The sequence below is a fragment of the Homo sapiens genome, chromosome 4 (genome assembly GCF_000001405.40).
Source record: "Homo sapiens chromosome 4, GRCh38.p14 Primary Assembly".
NCBI classification, from domain to species: domain Eukaryota; kingdom Metazoa; phylum Chordata; class Mammalia; order Primates; family Hominidae; genus Homo; species Homo sapiens.
The window spans coordinates 164,382,815-164,398,929 of record NC_000004.12 but is presented as its reverse complement, the minus strand read 5'-3'; the positions used below and the strand labels follow the sequence as shown (position 1 = coordinate 164,398,929).

The window sequence follows — 16,115 nt, the reverse complement described above, 5'->3', positions numbered from 1 at the left end:
AGAGATACATGAAAAATGGTCAATGTCACTAATCATTGGAAAAGTGAAAATTAAAATCACAATGAGATATCACCTCACACCTGTCAGGATGGCTATCATAAAAAATGGAGGATAATGGTTGGTGATGATGTGGAGGAAAAGGAATCCTTGTGCACTGTTGATAGGAATGTCAATTAATACAGCCATTATGGAAAACTTCATGGAGGTTTCTCAAAAACTAGAACTACCACATGATCGAGCAATTCTGCTTCGATATCTTAAGGATATAAAATTAGTATGTCAAGAAAATATTTGCACTACATGTTTATTGTAGCACTATTCACAATAGCCAAGGTACGGAATCAACCTAAGTGTACATCAACAGATGAATGAATGAAGAAAATGTGGTGTGTACACAAAGTAAAATACTATTCAGCCTTTAAGAAGAGGGCTAATCTGTCATTCGCAATGACATGGATGAACCTGGAGGATATTGTACCAAGTGAAATAAACCAGGCACAGAAAGACAAATATCTCACGTTCTCGCTTATAAGTAAAATCTAAAACATTCAGACTCACAGAAGCAGAGAATAGAATGATTGTTATCAGACGCTGGGGGACGGTGGTTAGAATATAAATGTATTGGTCATAGGGTACAATGTTTCAGGTATACAAAAGAAATAAAAGATAAATATTTGAAAAAAAAATAGGTTTCTTCCAGGCAACAGTTTACCATAGAAAGAGAAACTAAAATTTAGGGCTTGGAATGGGTTGTGTGAACCTGATAGAGCCTGACTCTTCCTTGTTTCATCAAGCACAGGGCAATCAATGGTCCTTCAGAAGGTTTGAGTTACCGTTAGTGGAAAGGAAACATCTTTATACAATTCTAGGAGGGTCTACTTCCTCTTCTCTTTCCATGAGCCAACCACTTAACAATATTTTTATTTTCTTGGAATCTTTTTCTTGAAAATCTACATCTTTTTCTGTAAAATGCATTCCTAAAAAATCTGAAAATACCTGTCCTAATCAAGTAACTTAAAAATAAACAGTATTTTTAAAGCTAAAACAATAAAATAAGTTTTTTTCTTAATTTTTGGATTTTTAATTTTTATTTTACTTTAAGTTCTGGGATACATGTGCTGAATGTGCACGTTTGTTACATAGGTATACATGTGTCATGGTGGTTTGCTGCACCTATCGACCTGTCATCTAGGTTTTAAGCCCCACATGCATTAGATATTTGTCCTAATGCTCTCCCTCCCTTTCCGCCCTACCACCCGACAGGCCCTGGTGTGTGATGTTCCCCTCCCTGTGTCCATGTGTTCTCACTGTTCACCTCCCACTTATGAGTGAGAACATGTGTTGTTCAGTTTTCTGTTCATGTGTTAGTTTGCTGAGGATGATGGTTTCCAGCTTCATCCATGACCCTGCAAAAGACATGAACTCATTCATTTTTATGGCTGCATAGTATTCTATGGTGAATAAGTTTTGTATGAGACAACTACTAACAAAAAAAAGGAAAAGAAAAAAGGAATTTGGAAGGGCTTAATCAATTTAGAACTGGAAGACAAGTGTGAAGATAAAAATTTTGCCAAGGAAAGCCAACTGCCTGCTATGGAAACTTAGTGCCTTGAAGAGAAGTTACTAAGTATTAAGGTCAATTCAGACGTTAATTTGCCTTATTTTTAACTGCAGGGAAACAGAATTAAACTTAATTCTGTCACTATAGTAGAAGCACACTGAGAATTTATAATTCTATGGTAAAATATTGAAAAACATAGTACTAATATGTTTTGAGAAGAAGGTATATATTGACACTGGAATGATCCTCCAGGGAGAAAAACCACTTATGTATTCTTAAAATATTTTATTTAAGTACCATTCCCTTGCAGCGCATAAATTGCTATTAAATAAAATAGGACTTATAAACATCATTGCCAACATTTACCAATCTTATAAATTCCAACACTTTAGGTCCAATAAGCTTCAATTTAATAAAAATAAATTAATTAATGATTTAGAAAAATTAGGAAAATAACAATATGCATTATTTTGGAGTAAGAAGGACAGAAACAATATAGCCTTGATGAAATTTTAGCTATTCTTTTTCTCTACTTTGCTTGGCATATTTAGCTACCAGAATAATCTTGATTTTTCACGAATAGAATAATTAAGTTCTTCTATGAATGTAAGATATAAATTGAGTTACATACACACATGTGTATATTTATTCCAATTTCTAAATAATGCCAGGTCCCAACGTATCTGTTTACACAGCCTGCTCCTGCTTCTTCTATCTGATTATTGATGGGCAAAGTGCTGTCCAGGGTGCTAACTCAAGCTTACTGACCCAAGTCCACAGCATAACCACTAATCCAATAAAACACTCTTTCCTGCCGAGTACTTATGTGATCTCAAGAATCTCAACTGCTTACCCAAGCAACCACTATCAATTTCTTACAGATGGTTCTCAAATTAAAACCTATTAGTGAACGCAAGTCTAATGATGTGTCTCAACCTTACATGGGCTTCAGAACCTGTAAAAGAGAATTCCTATGAATAAAGGACACAATAGACTAATCTATATATTGGAATAATAGCTTATTCATTTCCACATAATGCTACCTAATGAATTATCACCAAACATTTACATAATCTACTTTTAGTAAGAAAATAGTAATAACTAGCAACTAAGTCTGTGCCAGGCACTGTTGAAAGTACCTCATATGTATTAAGTAATGCGATCATCACATCAACCCTATACAATCAATACTCTTATTGACCTAATTTTCTAGGTGAGGAAATTGAAATAAAGAACTAGAAAATGGTGGAACCAAAATTCGAACTCAGGCGAACTGGCTCTAGTAAGTATGCTTTCAATTACTACAATATACTCCTGTTACATGGGAAATCAAATTATATGCAGAGGTTGCCTTGTAAGGGTAAAGAAAAATTACTGATATGATTTTATGCTTAATGGCAATTAATTATGACGGTTCATTGAGCTCATTTTTACTAGTCAGGGCAAGAAAATGGGCAAAGGGACTCCCTGATTTCTAATGCAATTTTCTTGTATTCCATAATAATAATTCAATTAGCAATTGTTTAATAAAGGTAGCATTGCATAGTAATTAAGCAGTCTTAGAGGTAAGCTACCTGAGTTCTAAATACCACTTGGGACATCATTAGTTGCATAACCTTTGCAAGTTGCTTTTCTTTGTTTCACTTCAGTTTTTGTACCTATAAAATGAGGAAAATAACAATGTCTGTTGCACATAGTTGTGAGGATTAAATGAGTTAATGCATGTAAATCACTCAGACAATGCCTTGCATTTAACAAACCCCAATAAATATTAGTTATCATTATTGCATGTTTTCATGGAATTAATTGGATTGCAATTCGATTTCTCATAAACTTTATCTTTCACAAAATATTTTGTGGCTAAACAACGTTTAAATATTTATTTTTTCTTATGTATTGATTTTATGGTTGAAATATAAAGGTTTGACTGCTTTTCCATTTCCTATATGTATCTTCTAAATTTGGTCTATATAATTGAGTAAATTAGAAACAACAAACATTACAAATGAAGACATCAAGGTAAACAGTGTTTTTCCCTGTGCAGATAATTTACAATGTATAATATTGGCGACAAAAAAATAACTACTATCAGCACTCATATATGTAAGAAGTCAGTTAAAGTTAACAGAATAATTGGCATTTCTTAACACATATGGTCAATTAATCATTATTGGGTAACTTAATAAAGAAACAAGAATAAAGTACACAGTTGTCACAATGGGATGGTCAGATGCCACACTATGTGCACATCAATCTGGTATTGAATCAAGGATATAAACTAAATGGGCACTTTTGGAAATGTTGCAATGCAATAACTCCTAAAAGACATTGCTTCATTTTAATATTAAAGTAGTATGATTCCTTTATAAAGCACTAATACTATTGATAAATTATTGTATATTTGATACTCAGTTATGCTGTCAAGTTCTGGAAGCAAAGTAAAACAAAAGATGAACAAACAAAATGCAAGAAAAAGTTTTCATCTTTAAAGATCTCATAGCATAGTGGGAAAGATAAGCAAACACATCATGGCAGTATAGTATGAGAAAATATGTACAAAGTGGCATGGAAATTAAAATGAGAATGGCCATGTAAGAGAGTTTTTAGAGTATGTAATTTTTTTATCTTCTGGATTAGCATCTTATTGGAAAATACATTTTACATTTTAAGGTGTAGATGTGAAATCAGGTCTGATTTCAAGTCTTAATTTTACACTTTATGATTTGTAAACCTGTACAAACCTCTTAAACTTCACCTCAGTAATTATAATGAGTATTAAATGAGACAATGCACATAAAATACTTAAATAAAAATTTAGTCTATTGACATTCAATGTAATATTTCTATTAAAAATATGGGAAGAATTTGCCATGAAAGGGTTATTGGGTATGGAAGAGTACCTTTCAGAAATAGGAAAAACATTACCTAAAGTGAAGATGCAGAGAGAATGTGGCACTTAAATAAAATGTAAGTGCATGTGGGTGAATAATAGAAGAATAAACTGGAAAATTAGCATCTAGATTTTATATTTGAATGTAAAGATTATTTTGACATATACAATGGAATGTTTGATTATTTGCAGAAACATGTAATGATAAAGTCAGTATGAAGCATGTCATGTTTTAAACGAGCAGGCATTTAATTAATCACAGTAGCATAGTTCTTAAAAATAGTAGTATATGCATATACAAGACTTTGATTATTTCGTGGAAAATGCTTGGGTGATAAGGATTTTTAGCAACAACTCTCTGGTTGGAAACTACTTCCAATGACAATGGGGAATACTGATGAGTGTGCTGAGGATAGAATGGCACTATCAGGTTTGCATTTGAGAAAGGATACTCTGTCAATGGCTGAAGGATGTTTTGCACAGAAAGTGTGGTGAGGGTAAGACTATAGGCATGAAATCAATAGAGGCCATTTCAGCGATAGGGAAAAGGAGTGTGTACCACTCTTGTGTCTTAACAGGAAAGAGATAGCACAATATACTGGGATTTCTTTTTTAAATTTATTTTTATTTTTTTCTTATACTTTCTAGGGTACATGTGCACAACGTGCAGGTTTGTTACATATGTATACACTTGCCATGTTGGTGTGCTGCACCCATTAACTCGTCATTTACATTAGGTATATCTCCTAATTCTATTCCTCCCCCTTCCCCCCATGCCATGTCAGGCCCTGGTGTGTGATGTTCCCCATCCTGTGTCCAAGTGTTCTCATTGTTCAATTCCCACCTGTGAGTGAGAACATGCCGTGTTTGGTTTTCTGTCCTTGCGATAGTTTGCTCAGAATGATGGTTTCCAGCTTCATCCATGTCCCTACAAAGGACATTAACTCATCGTTTTTTATGGCTGCATAGTATTCCATGGTGTATGTGTGCCACATTTTCTTAATCCAGCCTATCATTGGTGGACATTTGGGTTGGTTCCAAGTCTTTGCTATTGTGAATAGTGCCGCAATAAACATACGTGTGCATGTGTCTTTATAGCAGCATGATTTATAATCCTTTGGGTATATACCCAGTAATGGGATGGCTGGGTCAAATGGTATTTCTAGTTCTAGATCCTTGAGGAATTTCCACACTGACTTCCACAATGGTTGAACTAGTTTACATTCCCACCAACAGTGTAAAAGTGTTCCTATTTCTCCACATCCTCTCCAACACCTGTTGTTTCCTGACTTTTTAATGATGTACATTTTAGTAAAGAAAATACTTCTATGTGAGTAGGGTTAAAAAAAAAACAGGTTAGAACTATCAAGACTGGGAAGCCATGGTTACCCTTAAGCCTACTAACCTTAAGGTATCAAGAAAGCCTGGCTGATGGCTGGAAACATGGGAGAATCTATCATGATGAAGCAAAGTAGCATATTTTAGAACCACACTGAAGCATGGAGGAAATGGGGGAAATACAAACCCACCTCTCCTTCTTTCCACCCTCTAAATCCTTCTGGTGTCTCCAAACAGAACCCAACCAGAAGCCGAAGGGCAAGGAAAATGCCAAAGAGGATGGTTCTTTAGGGCATAGAGAAAGAGAAGGAAGGGTGTAAGGGTAAATTTAAGGTGGCTAAAGATAACAGGCCAGCACAAGGTGAAAGGTTCTAAATGAGTACAATTGCAAAGAATATGGAAAAGGGGAACAACTCAAGAGATTTTTATGCAAAGGTCTTGGTGACAATGTCACCACCAAAATGATGCCACTCATTTTTTTTTTTAAAAGTAATGTTTAATCAAAATAAAATAATTAGAAATAGTTGTATGTAGAATAGTAGTATATAGTAGTAGTATATAAAATATTGATTATTCCAATGGGGTGCAAGTGAGAGGAAATATCTTCCAGTAATATTTAGATTCCTTGTTTGGAAACCTGAATGGCTGCTGGAACTATTTACCAAGAAAATTATTACAAAACAGAGAGCACGGAGGAAGAAGAGCTGGAGCTGGAATTAAGAAAAAGAAGTCAATACATTGCATGAGGTTCACTTTTAATGGCTAAAATTGCTATTTTATTTGACTCTAGTTGGGTTAATCTGGTTCCCAGAGGCTTAAAAATTAATACTGCCCTAAAGTTATAGTATTAACAACTGATTCAGAGAAAGGGACAGCATACAGGTCCACAGTGGAGCGTAACAATTTCACAAGTTGTCATCACTCACTGTGGAAAAAATATCTTTGCAGTGAAAATCACCCTCTTACCTGGATGAGGACAACTGTACAGAAACTCTCTTACCTATATATATGGCTTCAGGGTCTCAGGTTCCCTGGCGACAACTCTCTAGAGGACTTGTTAATGTGCCATTGGGAAACTAAACTATGAATTTACGACATCACCTATTCTGTTCGGCTCAGCAATGTGTTGAAAAGTGGTGTATTGGTCAGTTCAAACAATATTTCCCTCTTCATTTATTTGAAGTTGTTTTATATACATCTGTCCTTGAAAGCACTGGTTTCCTTTTACAAATAATATTATGAATTACTCTCTGCTGAAACATGTTTGTGGATAAACATATTTTCCCTGTATCTCTGGTTATTTCTCTATAGCAGAACCTAAAGAAATTTAATCACTACCTCAAAGGCTATAGGAAGTCTTAAAGCATTTGGCATTTGCTGCCAATGTTTTCTAGAAAGCTTGAACGAACATATGTTTATATCTACAATATATACAACTCTTCCTTTGCCCGAAGAAAGTATTACAAGTTATGAAAATCTTTACTTGATACTTGAAAAATTGTGTCTCAGATTTTTTAAACTTGAATTTTAAACTTCAATGTTAGTTCTTTTCTGCAAGTAGTTCTTTTTTGTGTGATTTCTTTATATCTTTTTAAGAAATCTACTGAGGTCTTAGTATTTTATTGATTTCTATATATATTGAATATACCAAATATATCTGTTGCAAAAATTTATTCTAGTTTATTAAACTTTAAATTTGTATGTAGTATTTTTGGTGTTCTGAAATTTTATATAATATTTAATAAAATGTTACTATTTTATCTATAATTTATTTCATTGCTTGTAATTTAGATATTCCTTTCTTTCTGTCATAAATGTCTATTTTTATGTTCTTCCTAATTATTTTTAGTTATTTTTAGTTTTATAATGTTTAACACAAATCTTTCTAGACTCATTTTGCTTTACTTTATAACCCAAATAAAGCAAGGGTTTAACCTTTCTGAGCATGTTTTCTCTCCTATAATATAAAATGGAAATAAGATTACCTACCTTAGAACATTGCATGAGGCTTAAATTAATACATGTAAAGTGCTTAGAACAGTGCCTGACATATAGTAGATATTCAATAAATGTTAATTCTTATTCTAATGTCTAGAAATATCTAAAAAATAAAAAAATTTTCACAACTCATTTGGCAGAGAACTGACATGAAATGATATGAGGCTCATTTTATCACACTCAGCATGAATCTTTATATATTTCACTGCAGACATATCACTATGTTTGATTTTATGGCGCTGCCCCAAACAACAGTGGGATACTACACAAAATGCAGTATATAACTTATATTCCCTTTTTAAAAAAAACAAAGGATAAAAACCTTTGGAATGCAATTTGCCCCGAATCCAGGATTTCAAGTTATATTAGTTATTGATCAGCTGCTAATTGATAGGTATTATCTTAGGTGTCTTAGTCTATTCAGGCTACTCTGACAAAATACTATAAAGTGAGTGGCTTATAAACAATGTTAACATATTTCTCACAGTTTTGAAGCTTGGGAAGTGTAAAATCAAGATGCTGGCAAATTTAGAGTCTGGTGAAGGCCTACTTCTTGATTCATAGATTGAAACTTCTTGCTGTGTTCTCGTGTGGTGGAAGAGGCAAGGAAGCTCTCTTAGGCTTCTTTTAAAAGGACACTAATCACATTCATGAAGGCTCTGCTCTCATGATTTAATCACTGTCAAAGGCCCTTAGCTCCTAATACCATAAATTTTATGATTAGGTTTCAGCTTGCAAATTTTGCAGGGACATAAATATTTACACCATAGCACTAGATGTTGTCTATATTCCATTATTTTACTGAATCATCACAGTGATCCAATCATACATTCATTTATTCAACCAATATTTTCCAGGAACCATTTAGAGTGTCTTGGTTATATTATTAACAAAACAGATTAATTTCTCCTTCCTTCTTTGAGATAGCATCTTATTTCCTTAAGTCTACATTACTACTCCTTGTTACAACTAATAAAATAACTTTTGCAGAGGTGAAAATTAGTACTACCTTAAAAGCACACTGTGGATGAACAAATATCTTGATTTTCAAAAAATTAAACTGAGGAAAAATTAACTGTATTTTAGAGGAGCAAGTGGGGTTCAGAGACATTAAAATATATTAATTAAGTTATAGTAAATGGTAAGCTGGGGTTCAAAACTTTTCAAAGGCCACACTTCCACTGTTCCATATTTATGTCTAAAGGAATAAAAAATAAAAAAGACCCCCAACAGAATAGATCTTTTTTTTCCACTCCTGTTCTTTCTCTTCCCTTCTTGTTATAGCCACCACTATCAGCTATACATAATTGAGTGTCCTGTACCACTGAACGGGATGTAGCTCAGGAGGCTCCCTTTAGATCTGTAGAACTATTACACTCCCTTTGTATCATACTTCCACTCTACTTTCTTTTCTCATAGAACTCTCTGAAGTGAGCGATATATAAGGCAGATGTTATTAATTTCCTTTTCCAAATGAAGAAGATAAGGTGGCTAGGTGAAATGAATTACGTAAGTCATAAAAGACATCATTAAGAGAACTAGATTCAGAAGCAAGGTTATAGTACTCTGAGCTCTTCCATTCGACTCTCAGGGTACTTCAGAAATTAAAGTTGACTTGGAAAATCAGGAATGTCTATTAGAAGACTCTAATATTATATATATGTTTTTTCCTCAGAAAATATATTTGTCAGGGTTTTTCCCCATGATAGCTAAGAAGATATAGCTGTGGGAAAAACATCTGCTATAAAGATTAAGGACTATGACTAAAAGATCAGCAAATTATCTTTCTTTGGGCGTATTTGGATCTGTGTTATCTTTAATCCCATGCCTATAAATGGGATCAACCAAGGTAATTGAAGCAATTTGAGGAAATATATATGGCCACAGGATCAGGGTGGAAATAATGAAAGCAGATCACTAATACTACTGTTACAGCTGAATAATATGAGCACTTTCTCAAGAAAAATCTCAGTCTAAGAGGATAAATCAGCATCTTTACTTCTCAAATACCTTTATTTTAGGAGAAAATTGTATATATACATGTTCCTTCATAGCATTAGGCTGTGAAGGAATGTGTATATATACAATGAGATTCCTTTGCTTTCCACAAGCAGTATGTCCATTCTGCAATAAGTTCTTCCTTCTAAAAAAAATTTCCTCAATCTTTCCTGTACCTTTAAACAAAAGCAATTCATATAAGACCTCTTCTATGTCATGTTAGTGCCAATGACCAGCATAAGTGACAAAGCAGCTGGAGAATTAACTAAAGCCACGGGATGGGTCCCCGTCCTGTCAAATAAAGATATTTAATGATAGAAGAATGTACTGGAACCAAAGTCAAAATAACACTAATATTTAGATCCCAAGTATGCAATAAATAAATTTGTACCTGCTAACATATCTTATGAGTACCAAGATAGCCCTTGTTTGTTTAAATGGTTTATATCATAAATGAGCAATTAATTCAAAAAGCCAAGTTAGCAGCATACTTTGAAAAAAATGATAATTTGTTATGTGTACCTTTTAACCATTTCACACATTCTCTCAAATAACCCTTATTAACAGAGTTGCCAAACATCAGCAATTATGAAACAAGATAAAATAAAAAAAAGACTTTGAAAAAGTCTACACTAAACCTTTCTGTTTAAAGAAGCTTTGGTTATATATCTGTGCCCAGGGAATATTACTTTCTATGATAAAAAACATACTGGGTCTTTCAGGTCCAATATGTAAAGTGATCTATTTTCCTTGTTAATATTCACAGTAGGAAGAAAAGCCTTCATTTGGATGGGTGATGTAGTTTTCTCTCCCAGGGCTACTGATGGATTAACTGTACAGAGAAAATAGTTGCTGAGGTAGTCTTTATCTTTATTCAAATGAATGGTTTATGGCTCTTTTTCTTTTTTATTTCATTTTGCAATGATCTGTCTTCAAGTTCAAAAATCACTGTACCTTGCTTTATGTCTGAAACTGTTTAAGAATAGATCCAAAACCAAAATTTATTTGGTAGCCTGAGATTCTTTTTCTTCATAAATAACTTTGAAAGCATTTCATTTGCAGGGATAATGGAAATAAAATTAGTGATGAATTTGTTAACTGATGGAAAAGTTCACAAAATCATATTATTTACTTCATCAAATAGAATATATATATGTGTGTATATATATGTATATATAATGTATGCATGTATATAACATTTTATTTTTTCATATTTCATTTTTTTCAGTGGAAAAAATACCTAAAATTTGCAAGTATGCTGTTATGAGGACACACTTTATATGTTTAGGCTGATATACTCAAATTTTAATTTGATTTGTTACTAGTTTAGTTGCCTGGACGATTTTTGTAACCTCTGTATGTCTCTGTTTCCTCATCTTCAAGAGAGGTTAATACACTTGTATCATGGGGTGATTTGAAGAGCAGATGGAGTAACATATAATAACTTAGCACAGTATTTGGCACATGATAAGGACTTACTGATATTATTTCTGTGTATTATGTATCAACAATTAACAAATTTGTATGTAGGAAAACTTGTTTTTAAAAGTCAAGGTTGGGCACAGTGGCTCAGGCCTGTAATCCCAGCACTCTGGGAGGCCAAGGTGGGCGGATCACCTGAGGTCAGGAGTTTGAAACCAGACTGGCCGACATGGTGAAACCCTGTCTCTACTAAAAATACAAAAAAAAAAAAAAAAAAAAAATTAGCTGGGTGTGGTGGCGCATGCCTGTGATCCCAGCTACTCGGGAGGCTGAGGCAGGAGAATTGCTTGAACCCAGGAGGCAGAGGTTGCGGTGAGCTGAGATCACACCACTGCACTCCATCCTGGGTGACAGAGCAAGACTCTGTCTCAATAAATAAATAAATAACAAATAAGAATAAAAATAAAAGTCAGTAGCTATAAATGAGTCTATCAATTTAAATGAAACCAGAGTATAAAAAGTTTATATTCTGTGGAATTCACAAATAAAAAATGTTAAAATATGTCTATTTTTCCCACCAAAGCACTTGCTGCTTTTGTGAAGAGACTCATGTATCAGTATGAAAATGGTACAGTAGAGCATCAATAATTGAGGCAGAAATAATATATCTACTCTAAATCTTCAATTCCAAGGTTTAATATATTCACCATTTAAATGTGATTCAAATGTAAGTTAGGTTTGCAAAATATGATTTCAGACTTTTTTTTGGCTAAGACTTACGATACTTTTACATTTTCTCATGTAACAATTAGATGTTTTAGTTATTTATAGCATCCATTTGGATAAAAATATTTCAAAATATTCAAACACCACGTTTTAAGAATTACAAATAAAAAAGCATGCAGTAGTAGTGGAAAATGTCAGTGGCACAGGCAAAGGTGTTAGTAGGTTGGGACACATTAGGAAAGAAGTTATTGTAGAGATACAGTAAATTCACTTTGCTAAGTTCAGGGTCCTGAGTGATTGCCACAGCACAGTATTTTCAATTCCCAAAAAAGTCCCAAATCACATACTGAAGATATTTTCACAGAAATAAATACATTATCATGTAAGAATGCATTTTTTCTTTAAAGTAAGAGATTTAGGTTTTGCTTTAATTCCTTAGAGCAGTGATGAAAAAGAAAAAAAGCTGAAGGATGCATTTTCCGATCTTTATGGCTACTATTATAAATTCCCCAGATCTGCTAACTATGACCTTCTTCTTGTCTCCATTCTTATGAATTAGTCCAGAGAATGCTGAAGAACTGGAAGATAAACAGAGGCAAAGAAGATAGATAGGGCATTAAAGAACCAATCTCCTAGGGAAGGTTTACAACTTGACCTTCTGATGCACTTAGAACAGTGTCATTAGCAGTACTAATTACTTTTTTCAAGCCATTAGATTGTTTTCCTATTCTCAAAGACTGCCATTACTTACATTTCCAAATTTTTACCTTTTCTCCTGGTTTACTTCCCATTTGGCCCCGATTGAAAAAAATCTTTATTATTTTGGTATTTAAAAATATTTGTTTCTAACATTTGTTCAATCATTTGATATGTTATTTTTTACTTATTATATAATGATATAAATACTAGTGATCCCTAAAATATTTTAATTTGAAAATAAAAGTGAACACATAGATTTCACAAAGTACATGCATCACAATTTTTTTATACTCTATTAGTTTTTAATTTTTATAGGTACATAGTGGGTATATATATTTATAGGATACATGAAATATTTTGATACAGGCATACCGTGTGTAATATTCACATCAGGGAAAATGGGGTATCATTGCCTCAAGAATTTATCATTTCTTTGTGTTATAAGCATTTCAATTATACTTTCAGTTATTTGAAAATATACAATAAATTGTTGTTGACTGTAGTCACTGTTGTGCTATCAAATACTAGATCTTCTTCATTCTATCTATCTATATTTTTGTACAGCCTCTGGTAACCATCACTTGAATCGCTATCTCTGTGAGTTCAGGTGTTTTAATTTTTAGCTCCCACAAATGAGTGAGAACATGCAAAGTCGGTCTTTTTTGTGCTCAGCTTATTTCACTTAAGGTAATGACCTCCAGTTCCTTCATGTTGTTGCAAATGACAGGATCTTATTCTCTTTTATGGCTGAATATTACTCCATTGTGTATATGTGCCATTATTTTCTTTATCCATTACACTGATAGTTTATTTTTTAAAATAATTTCTGATGCTGCTTTTTCATACTTATTACTTTTTCCTCAGAAAAGTCCCATTGGATTTCACAATTTCACAATGCAATAAGAAGCCTATCTGATAGTGAGTAGCCTTTAAATTGTTGTTGTTATTATTTTATTGAGTCCTCTTTGTATTTACAAAGATTAAGGAGTTTCTAACCGTATCTACACTTGTAATAAATGTTATTCTTAGTCTTCACACTTGTAAAGGATAATGGTGATGAATGCAGCGGCAGAGGCTGCACGTTCCCACCCAGCACTCTCACTGAAGACTGCCTAATCAGCACTGGCTGCTGGTACTTTTCTCTGCAAGCTTAGTCTCTTCCAGGAATGACAGGTGGTAGGTAATCCTGGGAACTCAAGAGCCTCCTTGAAGCTTGGACTGATTAGAGCACAAACCATGAGCTGTTGAAATCTGGTCCCTGAACAGGAGAGTTTTTGACATGAAGCTGCTCTAGATTGCTGTAGGGCTGGGTCTCAGATCTGGTGTATCTGCCTGTTTCCATGAAAAGAGCGGAATCTTCAAAAATACTCAGGCTGTTTGTCTATTCCTCTAATAAAACTTCTATTGATGTTATATAGAATCTTGAGCAAAAGATTTGGCATCGCACCTTTTATGAGTTTCAATAAACCTTGTGATTTAAATAGTTTCATCATTGATGACAGTCTTTGGGTGAGGCCACAAGAGAGTCGCTTCTCGAGTGTCCATTAGTATATGGTGGGAAGACAGGAGGTCAATACTAAGGCTAGGAGTGAATTGCTACTGGTGCCTTCTTGCCTCAGACCAGCGGTCTTTTCGGTGTTCATGTCATAGATTGTTGAGGTCCCCTCGTTGTTTAATGTTTTGCCTCAGACTCCCGCCTGTAAACAGTACACATCTTTCTCCCTCACTTTAGCTGCTCATCATTTAAGCTGTCATTGGTCAGACATCCTAAACTTTCTCATTGTGACTAGGGCTCTGAGGGTTCCAGGGGTTCTAATTATTATCGTGGCTGCAGTGTAGGTGTCCATCACCGAGATGGGGCACCTGAGCTACTGAGCAGCCAGAAAAAAACTTTCTCCTTATCCTTGGCATCTGCCATCAGTTTAAGTACTGATTTAGGAATCTTTACGGCAAAGAAGAGGCTCTTCATCCCCGGCCCCATCCCCACCGCGCCCACCCGGCCCACATACACCCTCGGAGCCTGCTTTCCGCAGACTCCCCTATGTCCTGTCCTTGACTCCAGTTAACCTGGAGATGCTAGTTCTGGGAACTCCTAGAGGCTCTGTTGCCTCCTCCGCCTGCTCTGCGTTCCCCGCGTGAGCGCTGGATTATTCCAGTCTTTGAGCATGGCAGATTTCCACTGGATGACATCATGGGAGCCCAGTGAATGCCGGCTCAGAGAGGGGGACGGAGAAGGGGAGGGGGAGCAGAGGAGGGGAGAGGACTGGGGAGCCGAGCCAGAGCCGGGCTGCCTGCCACCCGGCTGCTCGTCCGCTAGCTGGGGAGGAGCGCTCCACCCGCAACTGACAAAGGATGGGAGAATGCCCGCGCCCCGGGATGCCGGCCGCACGCAGCCTGGCGGCCGCCTGAGCTACTTCACCCTCCGCCGGTAAGTGACTGCAAACATCATTCATTCAATCAGCCTCACTGGGAGCCCCTTCTCTCCGGCTGGTAGTCCTGGGCGGCTTGTCCCTGATCCCGAGCGGGGCTTGGCACAGCATCAGCCCTGGAGGGCAGGCAGCAGGTGCCTTTGCCTGGTGGGTCCACTGGGGAGCGTGGCTGGGGTTCGCGGCGGGTGCTGCCACCCAACCTGCGGGCGGCGGGCTCGCCCAGTAGGCGCCTCTCTGGTGAGAGGAGGCGGCTCCAGCCCGCAGCCTGGGGTAGTTGCTACTATTGGCCCCCAGCGCCCGCTCTGCGCGCGCGCCGTTTCTGGCGGATCCCCAGTGCGCGGCGCGCTGTTTACACCGGCGTGGTACTAGTCACGGAGCCGCACCCCTCGGAAAGCGCGGAGTCGATGACAGCCACTTCACAGGCTCACGCGCTCCTAGTGTGGGCTTGAAGGGGACGGGGACCGATTACCAAAGGAGAGCGCTGAGTACGGAAGACACAGGGCAGCCTTTGTCTTGGGTTTAGCGCTGATGCGCTCAACCCTGAGTCGGGTTCACTGCAACTGTTGTGTCCGATTTCGGTTCCCTGCAACCGCCCTCCTGGGCGAGAGATGTCATTGTGTTCCTGCGGCCAGCGGGACTGAGAGCTGGGACTTAAGACGCCAGGAGGGTCCTGCGCTCACGGGTGAGTGTCGCAGTTATCCAGGTGCTGAGGGAGTTTCTGGAGCTCCAGGAAGTGGAGTGACCAGTCGAGGCAGAGAGACGCCCAAGTTTTATCCCCAAATGGTGTGAGGGAAATGGCAAAGTTAAGGGAGACTCACTCTCGCTCTTTTCTCTGGTTTCTGAAGCGCTGATTTTGGAGATTTGTGACAGGTGAATGGAATCAGAGGCATGGCCAATATGTAGTTAGAGAGCCTCACGTTTTCCTGGCAATTCTTATTGTTATTCAGTAGTTCCAGAAAAGATTTGCTTGCTAAACATTTTTGAGATCAAAATGTTTTCTATTATAGAGCTCTGTGGGTTTGACGAAAAAAGATTCTGAACCTGCTCAGGTACC

At 36.4% G+C, this 16,115-nt stretch overlaps 1 protein-coding gene across 5 annotated transcripts in view, besides 1 other annotated feature; it reads left to right on the top strand.

Annotated features, from left to right (window-relative positions):
* Window positions 1-14,910: 14,910 nt before the first annotated feature.
* Window positions 14,911-16,115, top strand: part of MARCHF1 (membrane associated ring-CH-type finger 1) — an 859,722-nt gene continuing 858,517 nt past the window's right edge. For 2 of the 5 annotated variants that reach the window (XM_017008336.2, NM_001394959.1), the window contains exon 1: window positions 14,911-15,060. The gene's annotated coding sequence lies outside the window, so the exon portion shown is untranslated. Of the gene's footprint in view, window positions 15,744-16,115 lie in introns of all 5 variants that reach the window. The other 3 variants (NM_001166373.2, XM_047415869.1, XM_017008335.2) reach the window with 2 other exon arrangements.
* Window positions 15,182-15,683: an enhancer, noted in NCBI's record as "H3K4me1 hESC enhancer chr4:165304399-165304900 (GRCh37/hg19 assembly coordinates)". NCBI's record gives its function as "activates a minimal SCP1, AML or CMV promoter by ChIP-STARR-seq in primed H9 embryonic stem cells {active_cell/tissue: H9 hESC(primed)}" and the evidence as "EXISTENCE:reporter gene assay evidence [ECO:0000049][PMID:30033119]".